At 39.2% G+C, this 25,969-nt stretch overlaps 1 protein-coding gene across 3 annotated transcripts in view; it reads left to right on the forward strand.

Annotated features, from left to right (window-relative positions):
• The window catches only part of CNTNAP5 (contactin associated protein family member 5), an 895,933-nt gene that overhangs the window by 760,110 nt on the left and 109,854 nt on the right, over positions 1-25,969 (forward strand). For 2 of the 3 annotated variants that reach the window (NM_001367498.1, NM_130773.4), the window contains exons 18-19: positions 4,506-4,745; positions 12,700-12,924. In NM_001367498.1, coding sequence (NP_001354427.1) covers positions 4,506-4,745; positions 12,700-12,924 — 465 coding nt within the window. The remainder of the gene's footprint in view (positions 1-4,505; positions 4,746-12,699; positions 12,925-25,969) is intronic. The other variant, XM_017003316.2, reaches the window with a different exon arrangement.

Consider the following 25,969-nt stretch of genomic DNA (forward strand, 5'->3'; position numbering starts at 1 on the left):
GAAGTATTTTTTGTGTTTTAAAAAATTGACAAATAATTAAAATGAGGAAATGATCGGTGGGTAGAAAGATAAATGACTAATAAGTTTATATGAGTTCAGGTGTGCATGTCTGCGACTACAGGGGTAGTGTAGGACAAACAGTGGAGTGCATGGGGATGGATAACATACTAGTAAATACAACATATGTGAAGAGGTGCAAAGTCTAGATAGGCCATGTGGCATGAGAGCCACAAGTGGTTCGGAATGCTTGGTGCACTGAAGTCAGTGCAGGAAGTGTGGGAGAAAGAAGCTGGTGGGGTAAGGGGAGGCCAGATCTCCCTTGCTGTGTCAATTGTGATCAGGAATTTCAGCTTGATCCCTAGGACAATGACTAGTTTCCAAAGGGTATCAAACACGTACAGCAGAATCACATTTTCAAATTTGCATTAATTCTAGCCACAAAATGCTGAATGGAAAGGAAGAGCAGGGGCTGAAGGTAGCATGTTTTTGCAGGGATTCAGGTTAGGGTGACAGAGAATATACTGAAAGCAGTCTCCAGGCATAGAAAGAAGCAGACAAGCTGGCCGTTGTGGTTCACACCTGTAATCCCAGCACTTGGAGAGGCCAAGGCAGGAGGATTGCTCGAGCTCAGCGTTTTGAGATAGCCTGGGCAACATAGTAAGACCTCATTTCTAGTAAAATTAAATAAACAAATAATAAAAATAAATTTTAACGAATTAGCTGGTCGTGGTGGTGTGTGCTTTTGGTCCCAGCTACTCGGTAGGCTGAGGCAGGAGGATCGCTTGAACTTTGGGAGATGGAGGCTGCAGTGCGCTATGATCACACCACCGCACTCCAGCCTGGATGATAGAATATGACTCTGTCTCAAAAATAAAACAAATAGGCAGGCAGGAAGGAAGAAAAGAAAGAGAAAGAAGAAAGAAAGGAAGAAAGAAAGAGAAAGAAAGAAAGAAAGGAAGAAAGAAAGAAAGAAAGAAAGAAAGAAAGAAAGAAAGAAAGAAAGAAGGAAGGAAGGAAGGAAGGAAGGAAGGAAGGAAGGAAGGAAGGAAGGAAAGAAAGAAAGAAAGAAAGGAAGGAAGGAAGGAAGGAGGGAAGGAAGGGAGGGAAAGAAAAAGAAAGAAAGAAAGAGAAAGAAAGGAAAGAAAGAGAAAGGAAAGAAAGAAAGAAGACAGAGAGAAAGAAAGAAAAAAGAAAGAGAAAGAAAGGTAGGAAGGAAGCAGGAAAGAGAAAGAAGAGAGAGAGAGAAGCAAATGGATTCAGAAACAGATTTCTGGGAGAGGGAGAGAAAATCCACAGGGCTGGCGTAGGGGAGGAGGACAGTGAGAGAGGAGGATGAGGGAAGATTACTGTTGCCTTTCTGTTTCTGTACAATAAGTTTTACAGAAGATTCATGCCTCCAATAACTCTCTACACATAGTAGGTAAAAAGGGCCGCTTTTAAAAAATTATTCTCTTTATAAAGAAAAAGCAAACTTACTCCTAGTTTTCTCCTTTGTAAAGACTAAAACAGCCAGGTAAAAATGGAAATTTAGTTCACTGTGCAATTGAGTTCATAACTCACTGTGTCATTACGGTTTGTCAGCATCTGTAATTGAAATAATCCCCCAGATTTGTGTCACTATCACCAGGTTCTGTAAGTCTCAAACCTTAAGGAGTGCATTTTTGCCCGAGAAACCACCAACCCCAGTCATCTTCTTCTCCATTAAAAAAGTTGTTGACTAAGTCACACGCAAGAAAATGTGCAATAGATCTTGCATTCTTCACTTCTGTTAAAGAAAAATGACACTAACAAGATATATGAATAGTTATTCAAATCCACCATGGGGAGTGACAACAAAATGAGAAAAACAAAACCAAACAAAACATTTGACTACATATATCCTCTCCTCTTTATTCTACACACTCTCTAGGAAAGAAATAATGAACCTTCCTCTATGATCTGCTTGTGTTTATAATTGATTTATCTTGTGGTTAAAGAGATTTACTTACCAAAATTGAGACAGACAGGAGAATGTAATTGGGGTTTGGCCTCCTGGCCTGCTTGGGTATCACTTACGGGAACTGAAAATAAAATAATTGAACACATATTGTATTCTATAAATCATTACTTCAGAATGCAAGACGAGATCTATCCCTTAGGATAAATTTCTATGGATGTAGCAAGTGAATGTCATACATATATTTATGAGTCTGCTGACCTGGTGGGATTTAGGAAAAACAGCCCTTCTCTCCCCACTCTCCCCTGCCCCATGTCCCCCTCACATCCTCCCCATTTCTAATTATTTCCTTGCTTTCCTCAAAGCCATTGACCCACCATTGGGCCAGTCTGACTAATGCCAGGAATTCTTTAAATTATCTATTCATTCCTTTAACTTACAGCTTTGTTTCTCACTTAACATCTCTATTCCCTGTCTAAGATTATGCATTTCAATTTCTCATCTGATCCACTTTGATAAGGACACATTTGTATCTGGTCATTTGTCAGACAAAGATTTAATAAAGTTGTAGAATAATTTCTAGAATGAGGCTCAGATGAGAGATCCTAAGGGTACAGAAAACGAATGACAAGTTGGTCCTGACCTTGGTATTTTCCCTTCCACCTTTTCCTCCTCTCCATTAGTACATCTGGTAGACCTCAAAGGCCTGTGTGTGGCTTTCACTCATCCATATGTGTAGACTTGAGCCTGAAGATTTGAAACAAATGTTGTGTTCTTTAAGGCCAGGCTGTACCTCCACCTCCCCTGGGTTCTCCCAGGAGTTTCAGCACCAAATAAATACCTTCTAATGGGACTTAGCTTAATTTGCCGGCTTGTCTTTCAACACACGTTTTTCTGATATCAGAGGGGTAGGCTGGTGGAAAACTGGATTTCTGATGGGAACAAAACACTCTGAAATATTAAATCTGCCTGATTCTTGAATAATTTTCAAGAAACATATAAAATCTCTCTGAAATCTTCAAGATATATCCTCAGCAGAAAGTTACAAGCCTATTGTGTATTCCACAAAAAAGAAATCTGTCTTCTAAATCATAATGTAATAATAAGCTCATTATTAATCAGCTTAATTTAAGGATTAATCAGCACATATATATTAAGTAACTGGTTCTAGCCATTGTGAAGGTGCAAAAGAAGGCATAAGAGAGCAGCAGTGATTGAACAGGTATTGTATTCTATGTTATTTTTTTTCTTTCTTTTTCTTTCTTTCTTTCTTTTTTTTTTTTTTTGAGACAGAGTCTCGCCCTGTGGCCCAGGCTGGAATGCAATGGCATGATCTCGGCTCACTGTAGCCTCCGCCTCCCCGGTTCAAGCTATTTTTCTGCCTCAGCCTCCTGGGTTCAAGCAATTCTCCTGCCTCAGCCTCCCGAGTAGCTGGAATTATAGATGCCTACCACCATACCTGACTAATTTTTGTATTTTTAGTAGAAATGGAGTTTCACCATGTTGGCCAGGCGGGTCTTGAACTCCTGACCTCAAATGATCAGCCCGTCTTGGCCTCCCAAAATGCTAGGATTACAGGCATGTACCACCATGCCTGGCCTATTGTATGATCTTAGTGAAGCCTCACCACACACCCACACAATAGATTGATTTTTATTTTATAGATGAAGTAGCTGAGGCTTAGGTAATTCCATGGTCAATATGGCTAATCAGCAAGTGACATGCGTTTGACTCCATGTCTATCTGGCTCTGGTCTATCCACCTTCCACTCCACTGCACTGCACTGTGCAAGCATTAGGAAGTCTACTGAAGTTTTCTAAGTTGGTGTACCTAACAGCTTCTGTCTAACTTTGCCAGAAAGGACAGTCCCACTCTGTGCCTTCCACTTCAGATGAAAGTGTGCTGTGGACTGTGTGAGAACTTTTTTTTTCACAAGAAACATGGCCATCTGAAGTTTTACTCTTAAACTTGTAAAATACAGGAACTACAATCTTTCACTTTTTTTGTATGTATACGGAAAGAGCTTGAGGGAGGGGGTTCCCAGCCTAGAAGGACATGTATTTTTTTCTTAACTAACTTTTATTTTAGGTTCAGGGCTAGATTTGCAGGTTTATTATGTGGGTAAACTTGTATAACATGGATTTGTCGTATAGATTATTTTGTCACCCAGGTACTAAGCTTAGTACCCAATAGTTATTTTTCTCTTATCTTCTCCCTCTTCCCACCCGACACCCTCAAGTAGGACCCAGTGTCTGTTGCTCCCCTCTTTGCGTCCAAGTGTTCTCATCATTTACCTCCCACTTATAAATGAGAATATGGGGTATTTGGTTTTCTGTTCCTGCCTTAGTTTGCTAAAGATAGTGGCCTCTAGCTCCACCATTGTTTCTAGGACATGCATTTATTTGAGGCTCTTTGGAATTCCAACTCTCACTGAAACTTTAATAAAAAAATTAATTTAGACCTTCATGACAACAGAGAACTACTTAACTCTTACCCATGCCAACATTAAACCTAAATGTATTGAGCCCTATAATACCTTACATTTGTTTCCTTTTATTTAACCTCTTAGGGGGAACGTCATCCAGACAGAAAGGCTTCCTAGGATGCATTCGCTCCTTACACTTGAATGGACAGAAAATGGACCTGGAAGAGAGGGCAAAGGTCACATCTGGAGTCAGGCCAGGCTGCCCCGGCCACTGCAGCAGCTACGGCAGCATCTGCCACAACGGGGGCAAGTGTGTGGAGAAGCACAATGGCTACCTGTGTGATTGCACCAATTCACCTTATGAAGGGCCCTTTTGCAAAAAAGGTACCTTAGGCGCTCCTGTTTCTCCTGAGTGCAGTGCTGTATCACCTATACGCTATGGTCAGGCCATGTGATACTCACACTCTGAGACAGTCTTTATCATCTACTCTCCCGCTGTTTAGAGAGTCTGCATAGTTCTTCAACGTAATTGCATATACTTATTGGTATTACATGTGTTCACTGGCAATGTAACTGAACTGGATGGATAATTACAGGAAAACACCCTGCCCACGGCCAAAAAGTCAGTTAAGTAGAGAAAGAGGTGGACCCACATTTCTGTTGTTAGCTAGATTGTTAGTGAACACATTAATATTTCCACTTCCAATCCCTCAGCCCGCAAATGTAATCAAAGAATTGTAGAATCTAGCCCTGGGGGAGCCTTAGAGATACTTAAGCCATCTTAAATTATTTTTTACAACAAAGAGAATATCAGTAAATTAGTAAACACAGTACCGTGTATTTGGTGAAATCTCTCTATTCCGCAGGTGACTTGAGCGAATGTCTGAGGCTTTAAAAGCCCTGTCTGAAAGTTCATATTTAGTTCATTGGTGGGCTGGGACTGAAACACACATGAAAGTCAAATTTTCTGCTCCAGGACTTTTCCTATACCCCTTCACAATCTCCTGAGTTCATTACATTGACACAAATTAATAATCACGGATATACACCTTGGACAAGGAATGAGGATCATTGCTTAAATTCTCTAGATAAATTCAAGATACCTCAAGAAACTAGAAAATCTCAATATTCAGTATAAATACGTAGGATTTTTCAAACATAAGGAAAAAGATTTGGTGTACTCATAATTTTTGCAATATTTTAAAGACGGAAAAAGTTTGTTCAGTAAATAATGTAAACAATATTTTAAGAGCAGCATTTAAATTATTAAAATAAAATGCTTGAATCACTTTGAGACACCATTTGCAAACAAACAATCAGAGCAATGATAAATAATTCTTCTCAATTCATTAAAGCATATCTTCGAAGCACCTTTACAAAGCAATGGTTTATTTAGTCCAGCTTGCTACTGTTGGAACTTAGAAACAAAAGGGAAAAAAAGCACTCACTGTTTTATTTGAAGGATACTATAGTTTGAGCCCTCCGTTCATTCATACAGGGGCCTTCTCCTGAATTAGTTTGAATTACTTACTTATTATTCCTGAAGAGCATGTCATGCTTCTTGGGAGAAAATTAATGGTAAAAATTTTCGGGCTAACCGCATGGAAGCTTAAAATAAAACAGTTTCCATTCCAGGGGCTCATATTATGAGCTAAACAAGTAAAGTGCTGCTAGGTATTCACACTGGCGGAGGTCTCTGAACAACTTCCCCTGAGAAGTGTGAATGCTTCCCTTTGAGCCATCCCACATGCTAGGAGGAGCACGAACAGAATAAATACTATGAGACCCTGGCACTGAAATGCACAAGCATTCTTCTCAGCATCTCTAACCAAGTCTTTTGTTTGGAAGAACATGGACAGTAGACCTCTCTGCATTTCTCTGGGGACATTATTCAAAGATCTCGTAGATCATATTGTTCTAAATGTAGCCTAATTTCTTTTTTTTTTTTTTTTTTTGGCTCCTTTCTCCAAAACCATTCATACTAATTTTCTTCTGTCCACGGCCCTGTATCTTTTCCCTGCATATGTTGCAACATCTCTGTGCTCCCTCCCACTTTTAATTATGATCTGCAAGTTACATAGGCAAGTGTGTGCCTAGCCTTTTCATATGCTTCGTATTTTACTATTTCCAAACTGTTCATTCTTTCTGATAATTCTAAGAAAATTATTTCCTCTATATTTAGTCCTCGCAATGTAAGTAAGATGGCCTTTTTAGTCACATCTTTGAGCCCTGCCAACTGCCTCTGGGGAATGTGGCCGGAACTGAAATGGGAAGCCAGTGGCTACAAGATGGTTCTGAACAGAGGGTGGTCTGTTTGGTGATTGGGGCAGCCTTCCATGCTATTTACTATGGCGCAGTATATTTCAAGGAGATGGTGTGTAAATACTGAATATATCTTGGATAGAATTAGGGTCTTTTTTTCATTACCAATTCCTAGGTCAGAACTGTGTTTCATTGGCGATTTTTCCGTTTCTCATAATGATACGAAGAAGCAATCATCATAAAAAATAAACTAGTAATTAACTGCAACATATATTCCTCATCCAAACAAATAGAGCAGGTATTAAAATCTAAATTTAACTTATTGGGGCTCATAAAGGTGGACTGACTTGCTAAATGTCAGATTTGGAGGTCCATCTAGCTTGTTTTTGGTTCATTTTTTCTTTATGACCCTAATTTCATTCTATACATGAACATGGTAATAGGATTCCATCGTTTCAAATACAGAGCTTTTGTTTTGTGTATTTTTTCTCTCTCTTTCTATTATCGAGATGTAATTTATATACCATAAAACCCACCCTTTTAAGGTGTATAATTCAGTGATGTTTAGGATATTCACACAGTTGTATAACAATCACCACCATCAGTTTCAGAATATTTTCATCATCTCAAAAAGAAATTCCATGTCATTAGCAGCCACTTCCCAGTTACCTCTTCCCGTGTCCCTGGAAACCACTAATCTACTTTCTTTTTCTGTAGATTTGCCCATCCTGAGCCTTTCATATAAATAGAACCATATAGTATGTGATCTTTTTGTGTCTGATTTCTTTTACTTCGCATAATATTGTCCCAGTTCATCCATGTTATAACATTCATCATTACTTTATTCCTTTTTAATTGCCAAAGAGTGTTGCGCAGTGTGAAAGCACCACAGTTTGTTTATCCATTCATCCATTGGTCAGTTAATGGATGTTGGGATGGTTTCATTTCTTTGGCTATTATACATAACACTGCTATAAATATGTACAATTTTTGTGCAAACATATGTTGTCTATCCTCTTGGATATATACCTAGAAGTGAGATTGTTGTGTCAAACGGTAACTATAGGTTTAATCTTTTTGAGGAACTTCCTAACTTTTTCAAATCGGCTGTTCCATTTTACATTCTCACCGGCAGTGAATGAGGGATCCAATTTCTTCATCTTCTTGCCAACACTTTTTATTGTCTGATTTTTTGATGATAGACATCTTACTGAATATGAAATGCTATCGCATTGTGGTTTTGACTTGCATTCCCTAATGACTAATGATATTGGATATCTTTTTCCTGTGCTTATTGTCCATTTGTATACATAAATTTTTTGGAGAAATGTCTAACATCTTTTGTAGATTTTAAATTTTTCTTCTTTTTACTAGTCAGTTGTAATAATTTGTCGTATGTTTGGAATATAATTCCCTTATGAGATATATGATTTGCAAATGTTTTCTCCAGTTCTATGGGCTGTATTTTGTCTTCTTCATAGTATCTTTTGAAACACTAAATTTTAAATTCTGATCAAGTTCATTTTCTCTAGTCTCCTATCTTTTTTATTTATACATTTAGGATCATAGATAAGGAAGCCTTACTTAATCCAAGATCATGGTTTCTCCTAAGAGTTTTATAGTTTTAGCTCTCACAGTTAGGTCTTTGATGCATTATGAGTGAATTTTCATATTTGTTGTGAGGTAGGGGGTCCAGCTTTAGTCTTTGGCATGTGGATATATCCTTGTCTCAACACCATTTGTTGATGTGTGTTTGTTGTTAGCTCTCTTATCCCCCCTACACACACACCATTAATAAAGAACTTGGGTACCACTGTCATAGTGTTTTAATTTAAATGTTTTTTCTTCTTAATTAAAATGTAACATAATTATTTATAAAATTTATTTGAAAATTTATTTAGAAATCTAGAAAAGTTAAAACCCAATCTAAGTACTCAAAAATAATCATTAATAGGGAATTGCACTTCCTTCTAGTTTTTTATCCCCTTGCACTTAATATAACTAAGATAATTTTGCCCATTACATTTTATATTCTGGATTTTCTTTATTTCCTTTCAAAAGCATTTCTATGTAAGTCACCAATATTTGTAAGCATCCATCTTAATGATTGCAATATGTTCCATCTGGTGCTACTACCTTCTCTTGTTTAATCCATCCTATTACCAGAGCATTACTGCTCACAGATAAATCGTGGAGCTCTGGCACCACCCCTGCTCAAGTTGAGGTTCTGGTTCATCTACAGTCCACGTTGTATGACACTGGTTGTGTACCTCAACCTCAAGATTCCGTGGTTTCCTCATCTACGAGATGTGGGAAGCGCAGGACTCTTTCACAGGGAGTCGTGTTTAACATTCGATGAGCACTCTACAAAGAACATGGGACAGCCCACAGCATGTAAAGTCTCACTAAATGCTGACTCTTCTTATTGATTGAAATTTTTCATTATCTAAAATTTTGGTGTAAATAATGCTACAATAAACACATATATTGATTATTTTCTTAATAACAGAATTTCAGTGAAAAAAATAAAAGTATGTACATTTGGGTGCTCTTTACATATTGCCAAAAACCTGTCCAGAAATCATTTAATACTTATATTCATTTTAATTTATACCATTTATTTTTACTTTTTATTATGGAAAAATGGCAAACATATGCTGTAGGACAGGGAAGAGTTTAAGAACTCCCATTCACCGGTTATCTAACTTCAACAGTTACAAACTCATGATCATTTTTATTTCATCGGTACACTCACCTCCTATCCTCCTCCTTTATTATTTTGAAGAAAATCTCAGATATAATACTATTTCATCTACAAATATTACATCGTATATTGCTAAAAGATAAGCACTCATGATAAACACGTAGCCACAGGATCATTATTATAATAAAAGTATAATAATTTTTGAAATAATTGCTCAGTGTTCAAATTTCCAGTTGTTTTATTTTTATTTAATTTGTTTGATTTTATCTAAATTAATTACAGCTTGGATGATTTCTGGATAATTTCTAGACTATTCATTACCCAGGACTGGTCTTTCTGTTTGTTCTAATTCCAAATCTAATTCTACTACTATTATTAAAACCAGCTACTGTTCATTGAGTTCCTACTATGTGCTGTGCTTTTACGTACTTTCTTCCAATCCTTTCACCCATCCCAAGACTGAATTCATCCTGATTTATATTTGAGTAATGTGAGATTGAATGGGATCCTGTGATTGCAGGACATGTGTAGATTCAGGTTTTATCTCCAAGTCTACAGGCCCCATGGAGGCTCAGAGACGCACCTTCCAGTACCATCCCATTTCCAGCTCCTTCTCCTACTTCATGTCACCCATCAATGCCCTGTCAATACGGAGATCCTCTTGCAGGTCTCAGGAGGCTCTGCTCTCAGAGACATCCAGCTCTGGAAAATATTGTCTCTGTCGCTAACACATCAAGCCCAAGGTTAACTTCCATTGGTCCACTGGCAATTTGTTTTGTTTTGTTTTTGTTTGTTGTTTTGTTTTGTTTTGTTTGACAGAGTCTCACTCTGTCACCCAGGCTGGAGTGCAATGGCGCAATCTCAGCTCACTGCAACTCACGCCTCCTGGGTTCAAGTGATTCTCCTGTCTTGGCCTCCCCAGTAGCTGGTATTACAAGCACCTGCCAACACACCCAGCTAATTTTTGTATTTTTAGTAGAAATGGGGTTTTGCCATGTTGGTCAGGCTGGCCCGAACTCCTGACCTCGGGTGATCCACCTACCTCGGCCTCCCAATGTGTTGGGATTACAGGTGTGAGCCACTGTGCCTGGCCCAGGTGTTTGTTTTTTTTAAAATATGTGTCTTACCATCTCAGAATCTAGTTAGCATAGGTTCTTCCACCAAGTGGATGCTCAAGGGGTGTTGTTGATAGTGGCTCGGTGGCCTTGGAGAATCATCATGGTCACTAGAAATCACTTGCAAGTTAAATATCTTTATCCTTTTTGGCCAGTGGTTTTAGATGCTCAGATAACTCAACCCATCTGATCAAAAGCTTAAACTCTTAGATTATAAAGTACAAGAAACTGAAAGAATAATAGAGTCCAGCTGTATTGCTGAATTTAGCTTTATGATAAAACAGACAATATTTAAATATTAAAAATAACTAGAACTGGGGCTGGAGGAAGAGTGACAACAGAAATTTGGTTTGACATTTCTAATTACAAAATGCTTTTCATTTTCAATTTATTGTCTTAAGTATAAAGAAAAAAGTAATATCCTGTATATGCCCATATCTATGTTATTCCTAACAGAATGCTCTGAATTTTACTTCCATTTAAGCACACACACAAATATCAAATAAAAGTCCTTTATTTTGTTAACTAGGAGGCAGTAGCTCAAAATGCAGACCAAATATCCCTGAGTAAATTTACTCAAGGAAAATTCTTGAATCAAGCTGATGATAACCAGAATTCTCACTGTCACAGATGTCTGCTGCATATTTTTATAAACAGGAGTACCAAGGTTGTAACCTGCATGATAAATGCAAAACACTTTCTCTGAACCTTTAGTAAAAATGAACTAGTATTCTCAATCTGCTAGGCAATATGCATAAATATGCAACTTTAATTTTTTGGCACTATTACAGACTGTTACAGAATTTTCACAAGGTGGAACACATTTGCAATAGAATTAGGAAGAAAAAGCCAGGTATTATTATATTGTAGGTGCCACTAACTCAATCAGAGACTTTCATGGGGAATTTGGAACATTCCATATGCCATTTAGGGCAAAGGGAAATTAATCATGCCAATATGGGTTTATGTTTACTGTGCAGTTTTTATGGCAGAGGTTTGCTGCCTGATCTAAGGTGTGCTGCCCTATGAAAGAGCCTTCCCCACACACTCTGTTACTGTATAGAGATAAAATTTAAAGTGAACTCAAGAGCAGCCTTGATCTAAGGAGAGTATCTCAGCATTTGGACAGATGAACATTTAATAAATGAATATATTGTATAAAGTCTATTGGGATGGATTCAGGTTAATTTCTCTTCTAACACTCTGTAAGTTCAAACTGTACTTGGCAACTCTCTTAAGTGCTTTACATACATCAGATCATATACATCAGAGAAATACTGATGAGGTAGGTGTTATGATTCCCATTCATCAGATAAGAAAACATTCTCCACAAAGTTCATTATCTTGCCTGGGACCACATGGCCGGCATGAAACCAAGTGAGACTCAGATCCAGTGCTGAGTCACTCAGTGCTAGTTCCACTACACTAACATGGTAACAGTTGGTGTGCTAGAGCATTCTTCAAGGAGGCTGGGTGATTTACATATCCCACTAAATGAATTTTATCAGTTTTTAGATCCCGTATTTCTTCCTGGTGGTGGCAGATCTCCATTCAGTGTGTTATGCTAGAGGGATTGTTTCCCATAGGAAAGCCTATTTACCCAAGTCTTGGCTATATTTTGGAACTGAGTACCAATGCCTACACAGCTAAAAAAATGAGTTTAAGAGTTGGAGACCTATGTCTTTTCTACTTTGTCCATAAATTTCTTATTTGCTGTTTTCGTTGTTCTTCATGATTTACCAACATCATAGAGAATTACTGCTGCTCACCCCAATGTCTTGCTCTGTATTTAGAGACCATCCACAATCTCCCTGAGATACCAGAGAAGAACACAAACTAGAACTGTCAGGTTCTCAGTTTTGGGAGTAAGATGGTGCCAGTGTATTTCTCTATGCACTATGCTGGAGGCAGAGACATGTTATCTTTGCTTCTCAGGAAATTAGCCAGGCAAGTGGTCATTATTTTGCAGATGTATGTAGAGCTGGACTTAAACCACAGGAGGAAAACCTGAGCTTTCTTTTCTGGCTATGCAACCCTGTTCAAGGTTTGTAACCTATGAGAGCATTAAGTTTTTCATTTGTAAATTAAGAATAGTGACTTCTGCCACTTCAAAATTATTGTGGGGAACATGTTGTCTGATGCATGTATTACTCCTCACACAGTGCCCAGTGCATAGGAAACGAGAAAGCAGCTAAGGTTAGCTTGAACAATGGATCTAAAGGTTTCAATGTGTGCTCTCCCCTCTTATATTTTGCAGAGGTTTCTGCTGTTTTTGAGGCTGGCACGTCGGTTACTTACATGTTTCAAGAACCCTATCCTGTGACCAAGAATATAAGCCTCTCATCCTCAGCTATTTACACAGATTCAGCTCCATCCAAGGAAAACATTGCACTTAGCTTTGTGACAACCCAGGCACCCAGTCTTTTGCTCTTTATCAATTCTTCTTCTCAGGACTTCGTGGTTGTTCTGCTCTGCAAGAATGGTGAGTGTGATGGCATGATACCCAGCGGAGTCTCAGCCTGGGCTGGAGGGACGGTGCATGCCCTCCAGAACTCTGCATAATTTCAACCTCAAGTTGGTCCCATCTGGGAAGCTTATTTCCAGACTTCCAGCCAAATCCTTGATTATTCTTTACCTTTATGAGATGCAATTGGTATTCAGGGCCAGTGTCAATTCACTGCTGAAGTCTCAAATGCATTGACTTTAATTTGCCTCAACTGAATAGCAGTAATTCTTTATTATTTATTCTGTGCTGGAATCCATTAAGTGCAAAGGAGAACATCATAAGCATATCCGAATTTCAGAAGGACACTTGCCACATGTATTTTGTCATCTTTGCTTCAGTCTTCTTTACTGAGGGCTGTTAAAACAATGAGCATACATGCAGGCTGTATTAATAGAAGGCAATTGTCCAGGTCTTAGAGAGAAGTAGTTAGTATATGAGTCATAACCTTGGGGAATAGGTGGCTTGCTTCTGGGAATCAAATTTCTTTTTTTCAGGCTTTTTTTTTAAAGATAATGACAAATTGTGGCATTTGCTATTTTGAAACAGAAAGATTTGGGGCATTTTATTTGACAAAACTATAGTACTATTGTTTCACAAATCAAAATGCTATCACTTCCTTTATTTTTATAATTACTCCTACTTGATACAAAATTCACAAAAATACAGGGCAATATTTTCCTAATGCTAAATAAAAGGATTATTTTTTAAATTTTATTTATTATTTAAGCTTCAAGACTAGTGATAAGGTCAATATCATAGTATCTGAGGAAGGGATCATTTTTCAATTTGCATGGTATCTAATAGGTTCTAGTGCCTAAATTGCCCATTATTAATTTAAGCAGTAGGTGAGAATCAGATTTTTGGAAAGCATTTGGACAAAATGTAATACGAGAAGTTGAGAGTGATAAGCAAGGTGGAATACACTTCATGCAAGGAATGGTGAACGACACCACTTAGGATGGCTACTGCGAGTTAAAATTTTCTTCTGATACTGCTTAATTCCACCCTGCAAGGATGACTATTCTTGATATAGTCATGGCAGGAACACTATTAGATCAAAAACTTATGGGGTAGAACATACAACAGTATGATATAAAAAACACTGTCCTGTGATCAAGAATACAACTTTCTTCCCTTTGTCATCTGCTGGTATCATAAGATGGGGCTGGGCCTTGGCAGATTCTGCCCAAGCCATGCCACTGAGTTTCTGCACGGACAGTGGTGGAACCTAGCAGAAAGGAAGCCTGGAGTGTGCCCCATACACAGAGTCCTCTCCAGGCCTTATGAGGAAACTCTAAATTATTATCTTGCTTTATTTTTTCTTTGGTTTATTCCTCTTTGATTCATCTTGCTTTCCAGCTATTTACAGCATCAAAAACCATGAATGATGAATGGGTGTAAAGAAATGATCAAATGCTGAATCAGGCATGAAGTGAAATAATGATGATGGACCACATGATGTTAACAGGTGTCCTTCTTTCTAAGATAAAAATAGAAGGGAAGGAAAATAGACAGAAATAGAGACTAGGATGACAATGGCTCATTCTAAGCCCATCTGGACTTGAAGAATCCACAAGAGAGAGGGGGAAACACTATGGGTAATTAGATCTGTTTATCAATAGCCCTTTATGTGATTATGATTAGGACCATTCTATCAACATAGCAGGTCTTAGACTCTGCCCATCAGGGCTTTGTGAGGGTGATAAAGCTGACTGAGGACACTGAGGCATGGAGAAGTTCAGTAGGTGGGCGTGCCAACGAGGTAATCTATGGCACAGTGGGGACCAGAATGCAGGTTTCCCAATAGTCAGCCAGCAGCCTCCGTTCTAAACAATATCATCCTCTAATGATGTCATTGGACCATAGTAAGATGGTTGGTTACAACCAATGCGAGATTTTTTCCAAAGCATCTTTTGGGTATAGTTCCATAGGCACAATTGTACCTGTCAGGCCATGCCTAGGGAAATACAGCTGCCATGAAGACAGACAGTGCATAATGAATATAATTGTATCAAATTGCACACACATATACACACACACACACACAAATATATATAACTCTATACTGAGCACTATTTTAATTAATCCACACAACATTTACTTCTCATCACAACCCTGTTTGATTGATTTATTGTAGAAACTGAGGCACTTCAAAATCTCACAGCAAGTAAGAAGCAGAGCTGGATTCACCCTCCCTTCCTCAGTCTGGTGGCATATTCTGTATTCTTAACCACAAGGGCTAAACTAAGAGTGTTTTTAAAATGCACAATGTTTTAAATAATGTGAATCTATTTCATTGAGAAAGCATTCTTGAATTCTACCCTGCCCCTATCTTTTTACATCCTGAGGTCTTACTCTATTAAAAGCTGCCTGATCCCATAGGCATCTGCATGTTTTAAAGTCCTGGCTACATGCAGGAATCAAGAAGGTACTTGTGCCTTGTTTGTATGATTGTTTAAGTTTAGGTCTCAGGGCATGTGTGAAAGTTCAGGTATGAGTCCTGAGCCAAATATGAGTGACCATGGCCTGTGACACAGTCCTCAGGAGGTCCTGAGAACATGCGCCCAAGGTGGTCAAGGTACAGCTTGGTTTTATATATTTTATATATTTTAGTTAGCTCAGGCTAACTCATGGGAGATGGATGTCCAGGACATTGTTGTTAATAGAGTGTCCGCCTTCCCCACTCCAGCTTGGAACACCCCCACCACACCTTGCTCCAGGGAACCCATAGCAGTAGGTAGTGGGAAAGATACCCTGATTTAGAATCCTGGACATCTCTTGCCATCTCCTTATACTGCAGAGATACAACTAAGATATGTGCTCAATCATTCATTTTTTATTAACTCTGTGGGTAATTACTAGTCAAACTGCACAGTATCAGGAACTGTGAAGATAAGAAAAGAAATGCAGGACTAAGTGCTGTCTAAAGGAGATAAGGAATGAGAGACTAAAAAATCTGCCTTCAACTTTTTGAAAGGCAATCTAGATAGAGGAAGCAGTCATGTTTCCCACATTTCTACAGCAATCTAACTAGAAGGGAGACTTTGACTAAATTTTAAAATGAATCTTCTAAAAATTCAGGGATTATAACAGTGGAATAAAGTACCTTGAGTGGTAGTGAATTCTTTGCCATTGGAGGTCCTCAAATAATAATGCATGACTATTTGTTGGAGAAACCATAATAACTATCACAGGAGTAGATGAGAGGAAAAAATAATAACCTCTGAGTTTCTTCCCAAGTCTTAGATTTTGTGATTCTTTATTCCCTTCTTGTGTAGTCTTACATTAATATTTCTTTCTGTTAAGGCTTCATTTGCAGACTTTGAAATGCTGCTTTGAGGAATAAAGAATCGATATTCTTACAGCTTGTTCCCAGTATGTTTGTTCTATTAGGCCATTGACCTAATTACCAGAGAATCATGGGGGGTGAGAATTGCATTATAAAGAACTGGGAATATTTTAATGTGACTTTGATACACTGTCGTGAAAAAAAAATACCTGTGAAAATACTAGTGGGAGTTAAGGTTTATTAGAGGTTGCAAAAAGATCAGAAAACCACAGGGTTTAAAGGGGGAGGTTATTTATTATCTGTGAGAGTTTTTATGATAAGATTGATTCAAACCTCCCTGAGAAGAACTGAGAGTCTTCTGTTAGTCTAGCTGTCTTAACCTTTGTGACTGAAGATAGCCTTGGGAATCTGGTGGAAATTATAAGAGGGCCACTCTTACAGGGAGCCCATTTTGCTTTCTCCAAATAAAATCAAGTATCCGCCTCCAGGTTGTGCACAATGGCTCTAATTTTAGCACTCTGGGTTAAGAAGTCAGCAGGTGGAGTAAGGTGGATGAGTTGCATAAACACTGCACACAATTCTCAGCTTGCAAATTTATTTAATATAGTTGAACGGGCCAGAGGAAAGAAGATCAACGTGATTCAAAGTCATGGTTATAAGTCTCTCCCTGGCAGGGGTTTGATTTTCCAGGGTTGGAATTCTTCTGTGCCCTTTATCATTATTCTTGAAATTTCTCCAACTAGAGAATCATTCTGGTTAAACTGCTGCTATCTTTTCAAAGGAAAACAGGTACTTCTTCCTAAACAAAAAGAAATTAGTTTAATTTCTGGAATGGAAGAACAGAGGCAGAAAGAGAGACATTTTGAGGTCACAGAGTTGTTAGGAAAGAGAAGGCAGTTTTAGTTCTATAACCTAGGGCTGTGGCCACAGACAACTTCTCTGAGTCTGGACGGTTGGAGGAGAAAGGGTCTTGAAGACAGGAAAAGGGTACAGAAAGGGAGATGAGCTCATTCTCAAGATACACAGGACTTTCACAGAATTTTATTTAGTGATGGCTTTGCCTTCTCCACAGTAGTGGGGATTTCTCTTTCAAATTTGCAACTCAGAAAATATTCATGGGGCACTTACCATGTGGCAGATACTAGCTCATGTACTGAAGAGACAAAGACAGATAGAAAGGATCCTTCCCTGGCTTTAAGAAATCTAACTGGCCAGGCGCGGTGGCTCACACCTGTAATCCCAGCACTTTGGGAGGCCGAGGCTGGCAGATCACGAGGTCAGGAGATCGAGATCATCCTGGCTAACACGGTGAAAACTCATCTCTACAAAAAATTAGCCAGGCATGGTGGCGGGTGCCTTTAGTCCCAGCTACTCGGGAGGCTGAGGCAGGAGAATGATGTGAACCCGGGAGGTGGAGCTTGCAGTGAGCCGAGATCACGCCACTGCACTCCAGGCTGGGCGACAGAGCAAGACTCCTTCAAAAAAAAAAAAAAAGAAGTCTAGTTATGGGACAGAAACATAGTTAAAAAAACGAATGTCATCGATGCTAGGTAGAAGTCTGTTCTAGGTAGAATGAGTTAAAGATGATCAATTCTCTCTGGGAGAGAAGGTCAGAAAAGGCTTCCTAGAGAGGGTGATGCTTGAGTTGGTCATGAAAGATAAATTAGTGTTCTCCAGCAGACATTATATTTTTTCACGAAAATAAAGATTATTTTTGATTGTTCCTCATTTTCTCCATTTTATTCACATTGCAGTTGAAATCTATATATGTGTTATGATCAATTTCTGTTTCTATTCTTCCATCATCTTCTTTGTTGATAGAAATGCAAAGTCAAATTTAGAATATGCACTAACTCTAGGGCTATCCATCTATGGTGAAATCCTTTGGGTACACAATCCAAATATGGTTCCCAGATCACCTTCTGGGGAGGCTGTGCAGCTGCCCTCCAGCACCAAATGGTTTGTCTGACTTTGCTTCAGGATTTCCTTTTTATCAATCTTTTTTTAAGCATATGCATTCAAAAGATGCACTGTCTGCATTTGTGATTGCACACACCTTGGAAGGAATAATGATGAACTGCGACATTTTATATTTTGAGCACACTAACTCAAGGGAGGCAAGAATAAGAAGGAAGCCAGGGAGGGAGCATTTTCAAAACACAAAACTCGGCAGTGGCTAGCCAGGGCTGGGTTGACCTTAGAACATCCCCTGCCATTCCTGCTATCTTATGGAAGCCCTTCAAAGTGTAATGCTGCCTCCACATAGCCCCTCCCTGACACCAGCATATGCTTGATTTCCTCAGAGCAGCAAGAATCCTGATAAACAGAAGGGGAAAAGCAAGCCTTGGAAGGATTATTTTGACAGCATAACTAAGCCCTGACCACTTCAGTCTCTGGGCTTGTGTCAAGTAACACTTTGCTGATTTTGAATTTAAAATTCCCAGTAGTCTTTTGCTATCTCCCAGACTTTGTTTTAGTTGTTTCATTCCCTACATTTCTGTGCTTTCCAACAATCTCTTGTACTTTCATCATCCATTTCACAGTAATGAGGTTATGAGACACTGTGACCTCTAGAGGGCGATAAAGAGTCCTCCTGGTCACTTTCTCCTAGGGAAGGTCAATGGATGATAAGGGCAGGACAGAGGGCACTTCCATTATCACAGGGTTAGACTTGGGTGGTAAGGGTGGGCCTGACTGGAGAAACAGTGGCATGCTTAGTAGCACTGGATCTGGTTAATCTTTCTTGTTTCTCTTCTCTTTGTTGTTGTTTATGCTTTATTTTCTGATATGCTCCTAAGTCCCAAGAAGATTGCTATGAACTGAGTTGTGAACCACCCCCTTCCCAAAATCCATGACCCTCAGTGTAGCTGTATTTGGAGTAACAGGGTAATTAGGTTAAATGAAATTATAAGATCGGAGCCCTAATCCGACAGGATTAGTGTCCTTAAAGCAGGAGACACTAGAGAACTCTGTCTCCTGCTCTCTCTTTGAATGCCATGTGAGGACACTGAGAAGGCGGCCATCCACAAGCCAGGAAAAGAGCCCTCAACAGGGACCGAGTCAGCCAGCACTTGTGTTTGTATTTCCCAGCCTCCAGAAGTTTGAGAAAATAAATTGTGTTGTCTGAGTCACTCACTCAGTCTATGACATTTTATTGTAGCCAACTGAGCCAACTTTGCAACTCATTGACAAAGGTCAAATGAGATGATGCAAGTAACTATGCTGTGTAGATTGTAAACTATAAAACACACTTTATTTCCTTATTGGTAAAAGTAATAATATGAATGATCTGCATCCTGGGGTTATCAGAGCATGAATGTGAAGGCTAGAATTTGGGGAATTTGGGGTTAAAAATTAATACTCCTCTTTGTATGAAATACTCTTTGTATGAAATACTCTTAAAAATTAATACTCCTCTTTGTATGAAATACTCCTCTTTGTAATGAAAATGTGCAGTGCGTAGAGGCAGAACACTTGGGCCTGGAAGGGACATTACCCTGAAGAAGGAGAAAGATAAGGTACAGGGTGTCCTCTTGAAAACCGGCTGTCTCTAGTCACAGGAAACAGATTTTAATATACACAAGCATGAAAACGAAACCTTTTAAGAATGACTTTCTCAATTGCCCCCTGACACAGACCTTCAGGGAACTTCCCTGATGTCTCTAAAATAGAGAGGGGTGTGTGTGTGTGTATATAGAGAGAGAGCTATAATAACTAAGAAACAGAGTTATGTGTAGAACTAACTAACAAAGACTTCTGCTCACTGCAGTGCTAGTCCTTGCACAATACACCTGGGGCAACATAGTCAAACACAAGGAAACTCCCCACCTCAACCCCAACAACTTTGGCTGTGGAGCTAGCTGGGCAGCATGTGCCAGCATCAAAGAAAATCAAAATAGAGACAATAGCAGCTTCTAAGTCAGTCCTCTAAGACCCTCAGAAAAGAGCTAGTATGGAAATAAAGCCAACAAATATGTCAAAATACAATCAACTCTACAAACATCTGTTTAATACCTACTGTCTCAGTTTGCCAGGGCTGCCAAAACAAAATACCACAGACTGAATGACATAAACAACAACAATTTATTTTCTAACAGTTCTAGAGACTGGAAGTCCAAGTTCAAGGTACTGGCAGTGTTGGCGTCTGTTGAGGACCCTGCCTTTGTGTTGGCCACCTTTCCCTGTGTGCTCACATGATCTTTCCTCGTGAATGAGGAGAAAGGGAGAGAGAGACAGAGGGGCTTTGCTGGTGTCTCTTCTTATAAGGACACTAATCCTATAGGATGAGAGGCCCACCCTAATAACTTCATTTACCCTGAATTACTTTGTTAGAGGCCTCCTTTCCGAATACAGCCACACTAGAGTTAGTCTTCAACATATGAATCTTGTGGAGACACAAACATTTATTCTATAATACCTGCCATGTGCTAGATGCTGTTCCATGTGCTCATGGTAGAAAAATAAGTATGGTGTAGTTGGCTTCAGAAAGATTCTTGGGGTTAAGATTAATATACAATTCATCTTTGTAACGTCAGTGTGAGGCAGAGTAACTTAGCACATAGTTCACCTCTGATTATTCTTGGATTTAATTAATGTATTTTGAATCTAGTAGGAGGAGAAGTTACATATACAGTGAGAGGGGAAATGCCCTATAGAATCCATAAGATGTTATAGGATGACAGTGGGGCCATATTGGGGAAAGGGGGTAGCTCTTCCTGGTGCATTTCAAAAGTCTTCTAGTATAAATAGGCATGAATATACATTGCATTAATTGAGTTCTTAATCATATTCTTTTTGAGATTCTGTCCTGCCACCTGTGATGTATGTGTGGGAGGCAGGGTTGCTTGGGGAGTGGGTCTCTGTAGAGCTGGCATTCTGTGGCTCTACGTTCTCACAGCCTCTGGGTCTTCTCACTTTGTACTTTCCCAGTTTAAACGACTCTTCAGAAATTTTCCAATAATTGAGCAACTGCTGGTTTTTTCAGCAATGCTGGTTGCTTACAGCTGTACTGTGAGAATCAGAATAATTATTATTTGCCCTTATGATGCTTCATTGTTTATAGAAAGAAAAAAGGAGTGCACAAAGTGCCTTGGTTCTTCATCTGTAAATGTGGGATAATCTTGTTGGTCAAGGGTCTCACAGCCGTGTGGTGGGGCATTAATGAGATCCTGTCTGTAAAGGGCTTGGAGAAACTCACTTGAAAGATGTGGCATAAATACAAAGAAGGGTTATTACAAAACAGACCAAAGAACAGGCTAGTTACTGAACTACCTTTATTTTACTTTTTTTTTTTTTTTAAGCCAGGGATAAAGAAAATGGGAGATTGAATGTTTAGCTTTTGGACTGGAACTCTAATTAGAGGTTTAAGGATTAAGAAAATAGTTGGAGTCAGTGTGAAGAAGCTTTTCTCAGAGAAAAGACATGTTTTTATTCTTCTTAGAGCACTTGACCTGTAAATACTTACATCTTGAGATGTGAAACAAATTCAATGAAAGGCCTGAGCTCAGGGCTTATTCGGTTCTCTGTGCAGTTAATTACCTTTTGTCCAGCAAGGAGGCCTTGAATTATCATTATTTCTCCTAATTCAAAGTCATTGAAGATATGTCTCCACTGTAATAAGTAGTTTGACCTCTCGATGTTAAGAAATAAGGACTCTGACTGTCGGATGCCCTGTTCTAAATCTGCAGTGGAAAGATGGGTCGGGGGATAGTTTCCAGCCTTAAGAATCCAGTTCAAATTCCTAACACCAGCCATATGCCACTGTCTTTGATCTTTCAGCTAGAAAATATTTCCTAGCAGCTAATACCTATCAAGTGCTGAGTATGTGCCAAGGCATAGTTTTCGTAGTTTGCAAACATTAATTCATCTCATTCTCACACAATGACTATGGAGTCGGTACTAGTATTTCCCTATTTTACAGACAAGGAAATTTTGGCCTAGAAAGGTTAAATGACTTGTCCAAGAAGACACAGCAAGGGATCAGTGGGGCTGGAAATCAAAGCCCATTATATTTACTTTTTAACTTATAAACTCTTCTGCTTTGTTCTCTGACGTTTCATGGTACTGTGTGTACTTCTCTCAAGGAACCTGCCATGTTTTTCTGGATGCTTGCTCAAGCCCCCATCCAGGTTGTATTCTTGTCTAGGAATGCCACATTTACTTCCTGTGCACCCCACCACCACGTCTTGCTTGTAGATCTTCATTCAAGAGAGGGGCCAGGCAGAAATAATGGGGTAATATATCAGGAGTGCTAAAACACCACTGGAAGATTTAGAAACACAATGCCAGTGAAGGAACTTGCCACAGATCTCCTGATATTTAGCAATTTGTACTTTGATGCACAAGGAAGCACACAGGACTAACAAGTCAAGAAAAAAATACCATGCCTTTATTGGTGTCAGTTTCTGTAATGCAAGTTTCAGGATGCAGCAAGAGCCTCCAGCTCCGATACCCACCAGCCAAATCCCACAGCCACTGTCAACTGAAATGCTGTAGTGGAATAGCACACAGGGGAGTGCTACTTTCTTGGAACAAGTGATTTTAAAGTATTAATAGGGCTCCCCAGGATTTTTTATTTTTTGGTCAGAAAAATTACATGTGATAAATGTATGTTCTCATTTAAACATGAAGAATGAATGTGCAGATTTATTATCTCTCCCTTCTTAAACTCCTTCAAAATGACATAAAGCAGGCCAGGCACGGTGGCTCATGCTTGTAATCTCAGTACTTCAGGAGGCCGAGGTCAGGAGTTCGAGACCAGCCTGGCCAACATGGTGAAACTCCGTCTCTACTAAAAATACAAGAATTTGTCGGGCGTGATGGTGCATGCCTGTAGTCCCAGCTACTCAGAAGGCTGAGGCAGAGTAATGGCTTGAACCTGGGAGGCAGACGTTGCAGCGAGCCAAGATTGCACCAGGGCACTCCAGCCTGGGTGACAGAGAGAGACTTGGTCCAAAAAAAAAAAAAAAGACAAAGCAATCAAATAACTTTTTATTTTATTTTAGAAGTAGGAAACTGAAAAGACAAAGACAACAGAAGGGAATTTAGTATGAGTGAAAAATATGAACTCACTGTGGGAAATTGGAGAGCAGATAAAGGAGGAAGGCTGCCTCTGCCCCAATGTTTGCTGAACAGTTTTCCTGTTCAGGCTAATATGCAAGTTCTTTTTCACTTCCATCCCAGGCTTATTCTTTAGCATATAGAAGTTGAACCAAAGATTGTCCAAAGCTGAAGGCAAGGTGAAGATACTGGGCTAAATACGGAAATAAAGGACTGTCTGCACACTGGGCTATGGGATCCCTAGCCTTATTTTGTGGCCCTGTTCCCAGAGCTCTTATGGTAAGACTTTTTTTTTTTCTCTATACTGGAGATAAGAGTCCTTGACCATGGAAGAACTGAACAGCCCCATGAAAAACATGTGTGATAACTGGAATTATAGAAATGTCCCCTCATTGAAAAAAATACTTTACCCATATGATCACCAGACAGTAAAGCCCATCTACTGGCCTGCGTAGCTCCTTCACTTGGGAACTTCAGTCCAATTTGTAGTGCCTCAGTCATAAGTGTGAACAAATAACCAAGGCTACTCAGTACTTTCACCAGCCTTCCAAGACAAAAGATGACAATGAAAGCATACAAATAAAGGTAATGGAGAAACAGAGGTGATGCAAGAGACACAAGAAACATCAACAACATAATATCTTCAGCTAGATAGGATAATATATAAACCCATAAAACAATAATATGGTATTTATTTATTTATTTATTTATTTATTTATTTATTTATTTATTAAGAAACGGAGTCTCTCTCTCGCCCAGGCTGCAGTGCAGTGCCATGATCATAGCTCACTGCAGCCTCAAACTCCTGGACTCAAGGGATCCTCCTGCTTCAGCCTCCTGCGTGTCTGGGAATATAGCTGCAAGCCACTCTGCCCGGCTGGGAACATGATCTTTAAAAAAAAACCTGGCAAACAATGAGAAATAACTTTTGGAAATGTGATAGAGAAATTTGTTAAAAAATCTAGAAAGATGGGAGATAAAATCTGAGAAATCTCCTAGCAAGTTGAATAAAAATTAAAAAAGTGGGCAATCAAAAACAAAGAAGAAAATCAGAGGGTCAAAATGTAATGTCCAATATCTAATAGTATTTACAGAAAGAGAGAATAAATGTGGAGGAGGTGTTAGCAAAGATATAATTGAAAATATTTTATAGAATAAAACTGATGTAAAAGTTTGTTCTCTTACCCAGCACAGTGCATAGAAAACGGCACACACAAAGGCAAAGGCAAAATCCTAAATCTCCTAAAGATAGATGAATCAGGAGTCAGACAGATATGGAACTTCTGAAGAAAAACACTGGCCATTTGCAGATAGTGGAAAAACACCACAGTTCTAAGCGGAAATGGTTTGCGAACTGGAATCCTATGTTTAGTCAAATTATCAGTCATGTGTAATGTCGTTATTGAAGACTTCCTAAATATCTTTCCTGGGACTCTACTTGATATGCATGCATTCATTATCTGATATTGCATAAAAACTACCACCAAACTTAGCACCTTAACGCAACACACATTTATCACCTTATATAGTTCTGGGAGAGGTCAGGAATCTCAGCCTGGTTTAACTGGATGATTCCAGCTCTTGGTGTCTCCGAGGTCAAACTGTTGTCCTGGGCAAAGAGCTTGATAATCTGCTTCCAAGCTCCCTCGTGTGGCTGTTGACAGGAGATTTCAGGTTCTTGACAGGCTGGTTTTTTAATAGCGCTGCTTAAACAGCATGTCATCTGGCTTCCCCAGATACAGTGGAGGGCAGGGGGAAAGGGTATAGAGGGAGGACACAGGAGGACAGTTAAAACAGAAATTAAAGTCTTTTAGAACCTTAACTGGAGAAGGGATGCCTAGTCCAACCTGGGAGAGAATTACACAAGGGTGTGAATACCAGGAGGCAGGGATTATTGGATGCCATCATGAAGATTGCCTGTCACAACGTGGTTCACCCAATTAAAGAAGTATATAAAAAAGAAAGACATGAGATCCAGGAAACAGAGAACCCACCACAGAACAGGCCAGGTATTTCGGGATAGCAGCTATGCAGAAGGCACAGAGAAAAACCAGTCTGGGTCAATGGTTCTCAGCTGGGCATGCTATTGCCCTCCCAGATCCTCTGGGAGGGTGCATTTAACAATACACAGAGACATTTTTCATTGTCAAGATGGGACTGCTACAGGTATGCAGTGAGTGGGAGTGAGGGATGCGGCAAAACATCTGTAAAACCAGGATAGCCCCCCGATGAAGAATTATTTGGTCCAGAATGTTAAGAATTTTAAAGTTGAGGAAACCAAATCTATAGGCGTAGAATGAGATACAAGAAAACAGGCCATTTGGAAGGAGGATCCTAGAAAAGTCTGCAAGTAACAAATACCAGCTTTATCACTTGCATGCATATATCAGACAAACAATAAGGACTTTGAAAACCAACCTCACCAAAATGGTGATAGACCTATACAGAAAGCATGACAGGGAATCTTATGTGACTGGGTCTCAGAAAGACAGCTCCTTATTTACAAATGTGGGTGGGCAAAAGATTATATCTAAAATGGATAAATCAAGAAATAACAACATATTTAGTAAAATAGAGTTAAAAATAAGAAGAGTAATGGAACTAAAATAACTGCATGTGAGGAGGAAGGCGAGAGGGTGGGGCAACAGCTGCTTTCTTATGTTCAGTTATTCT

Source organism: Homo sapiens, chromosome 2, assembly GCF_000001405.40.
Source record: "Homo sapiens chromosome 2, GRCh38.p14 Primary Assembly".
NCBI lineage: Eukaryota > Metazoa > Chordata > Mammalia > Primates > Hominidae > Homo > Homo sapiens.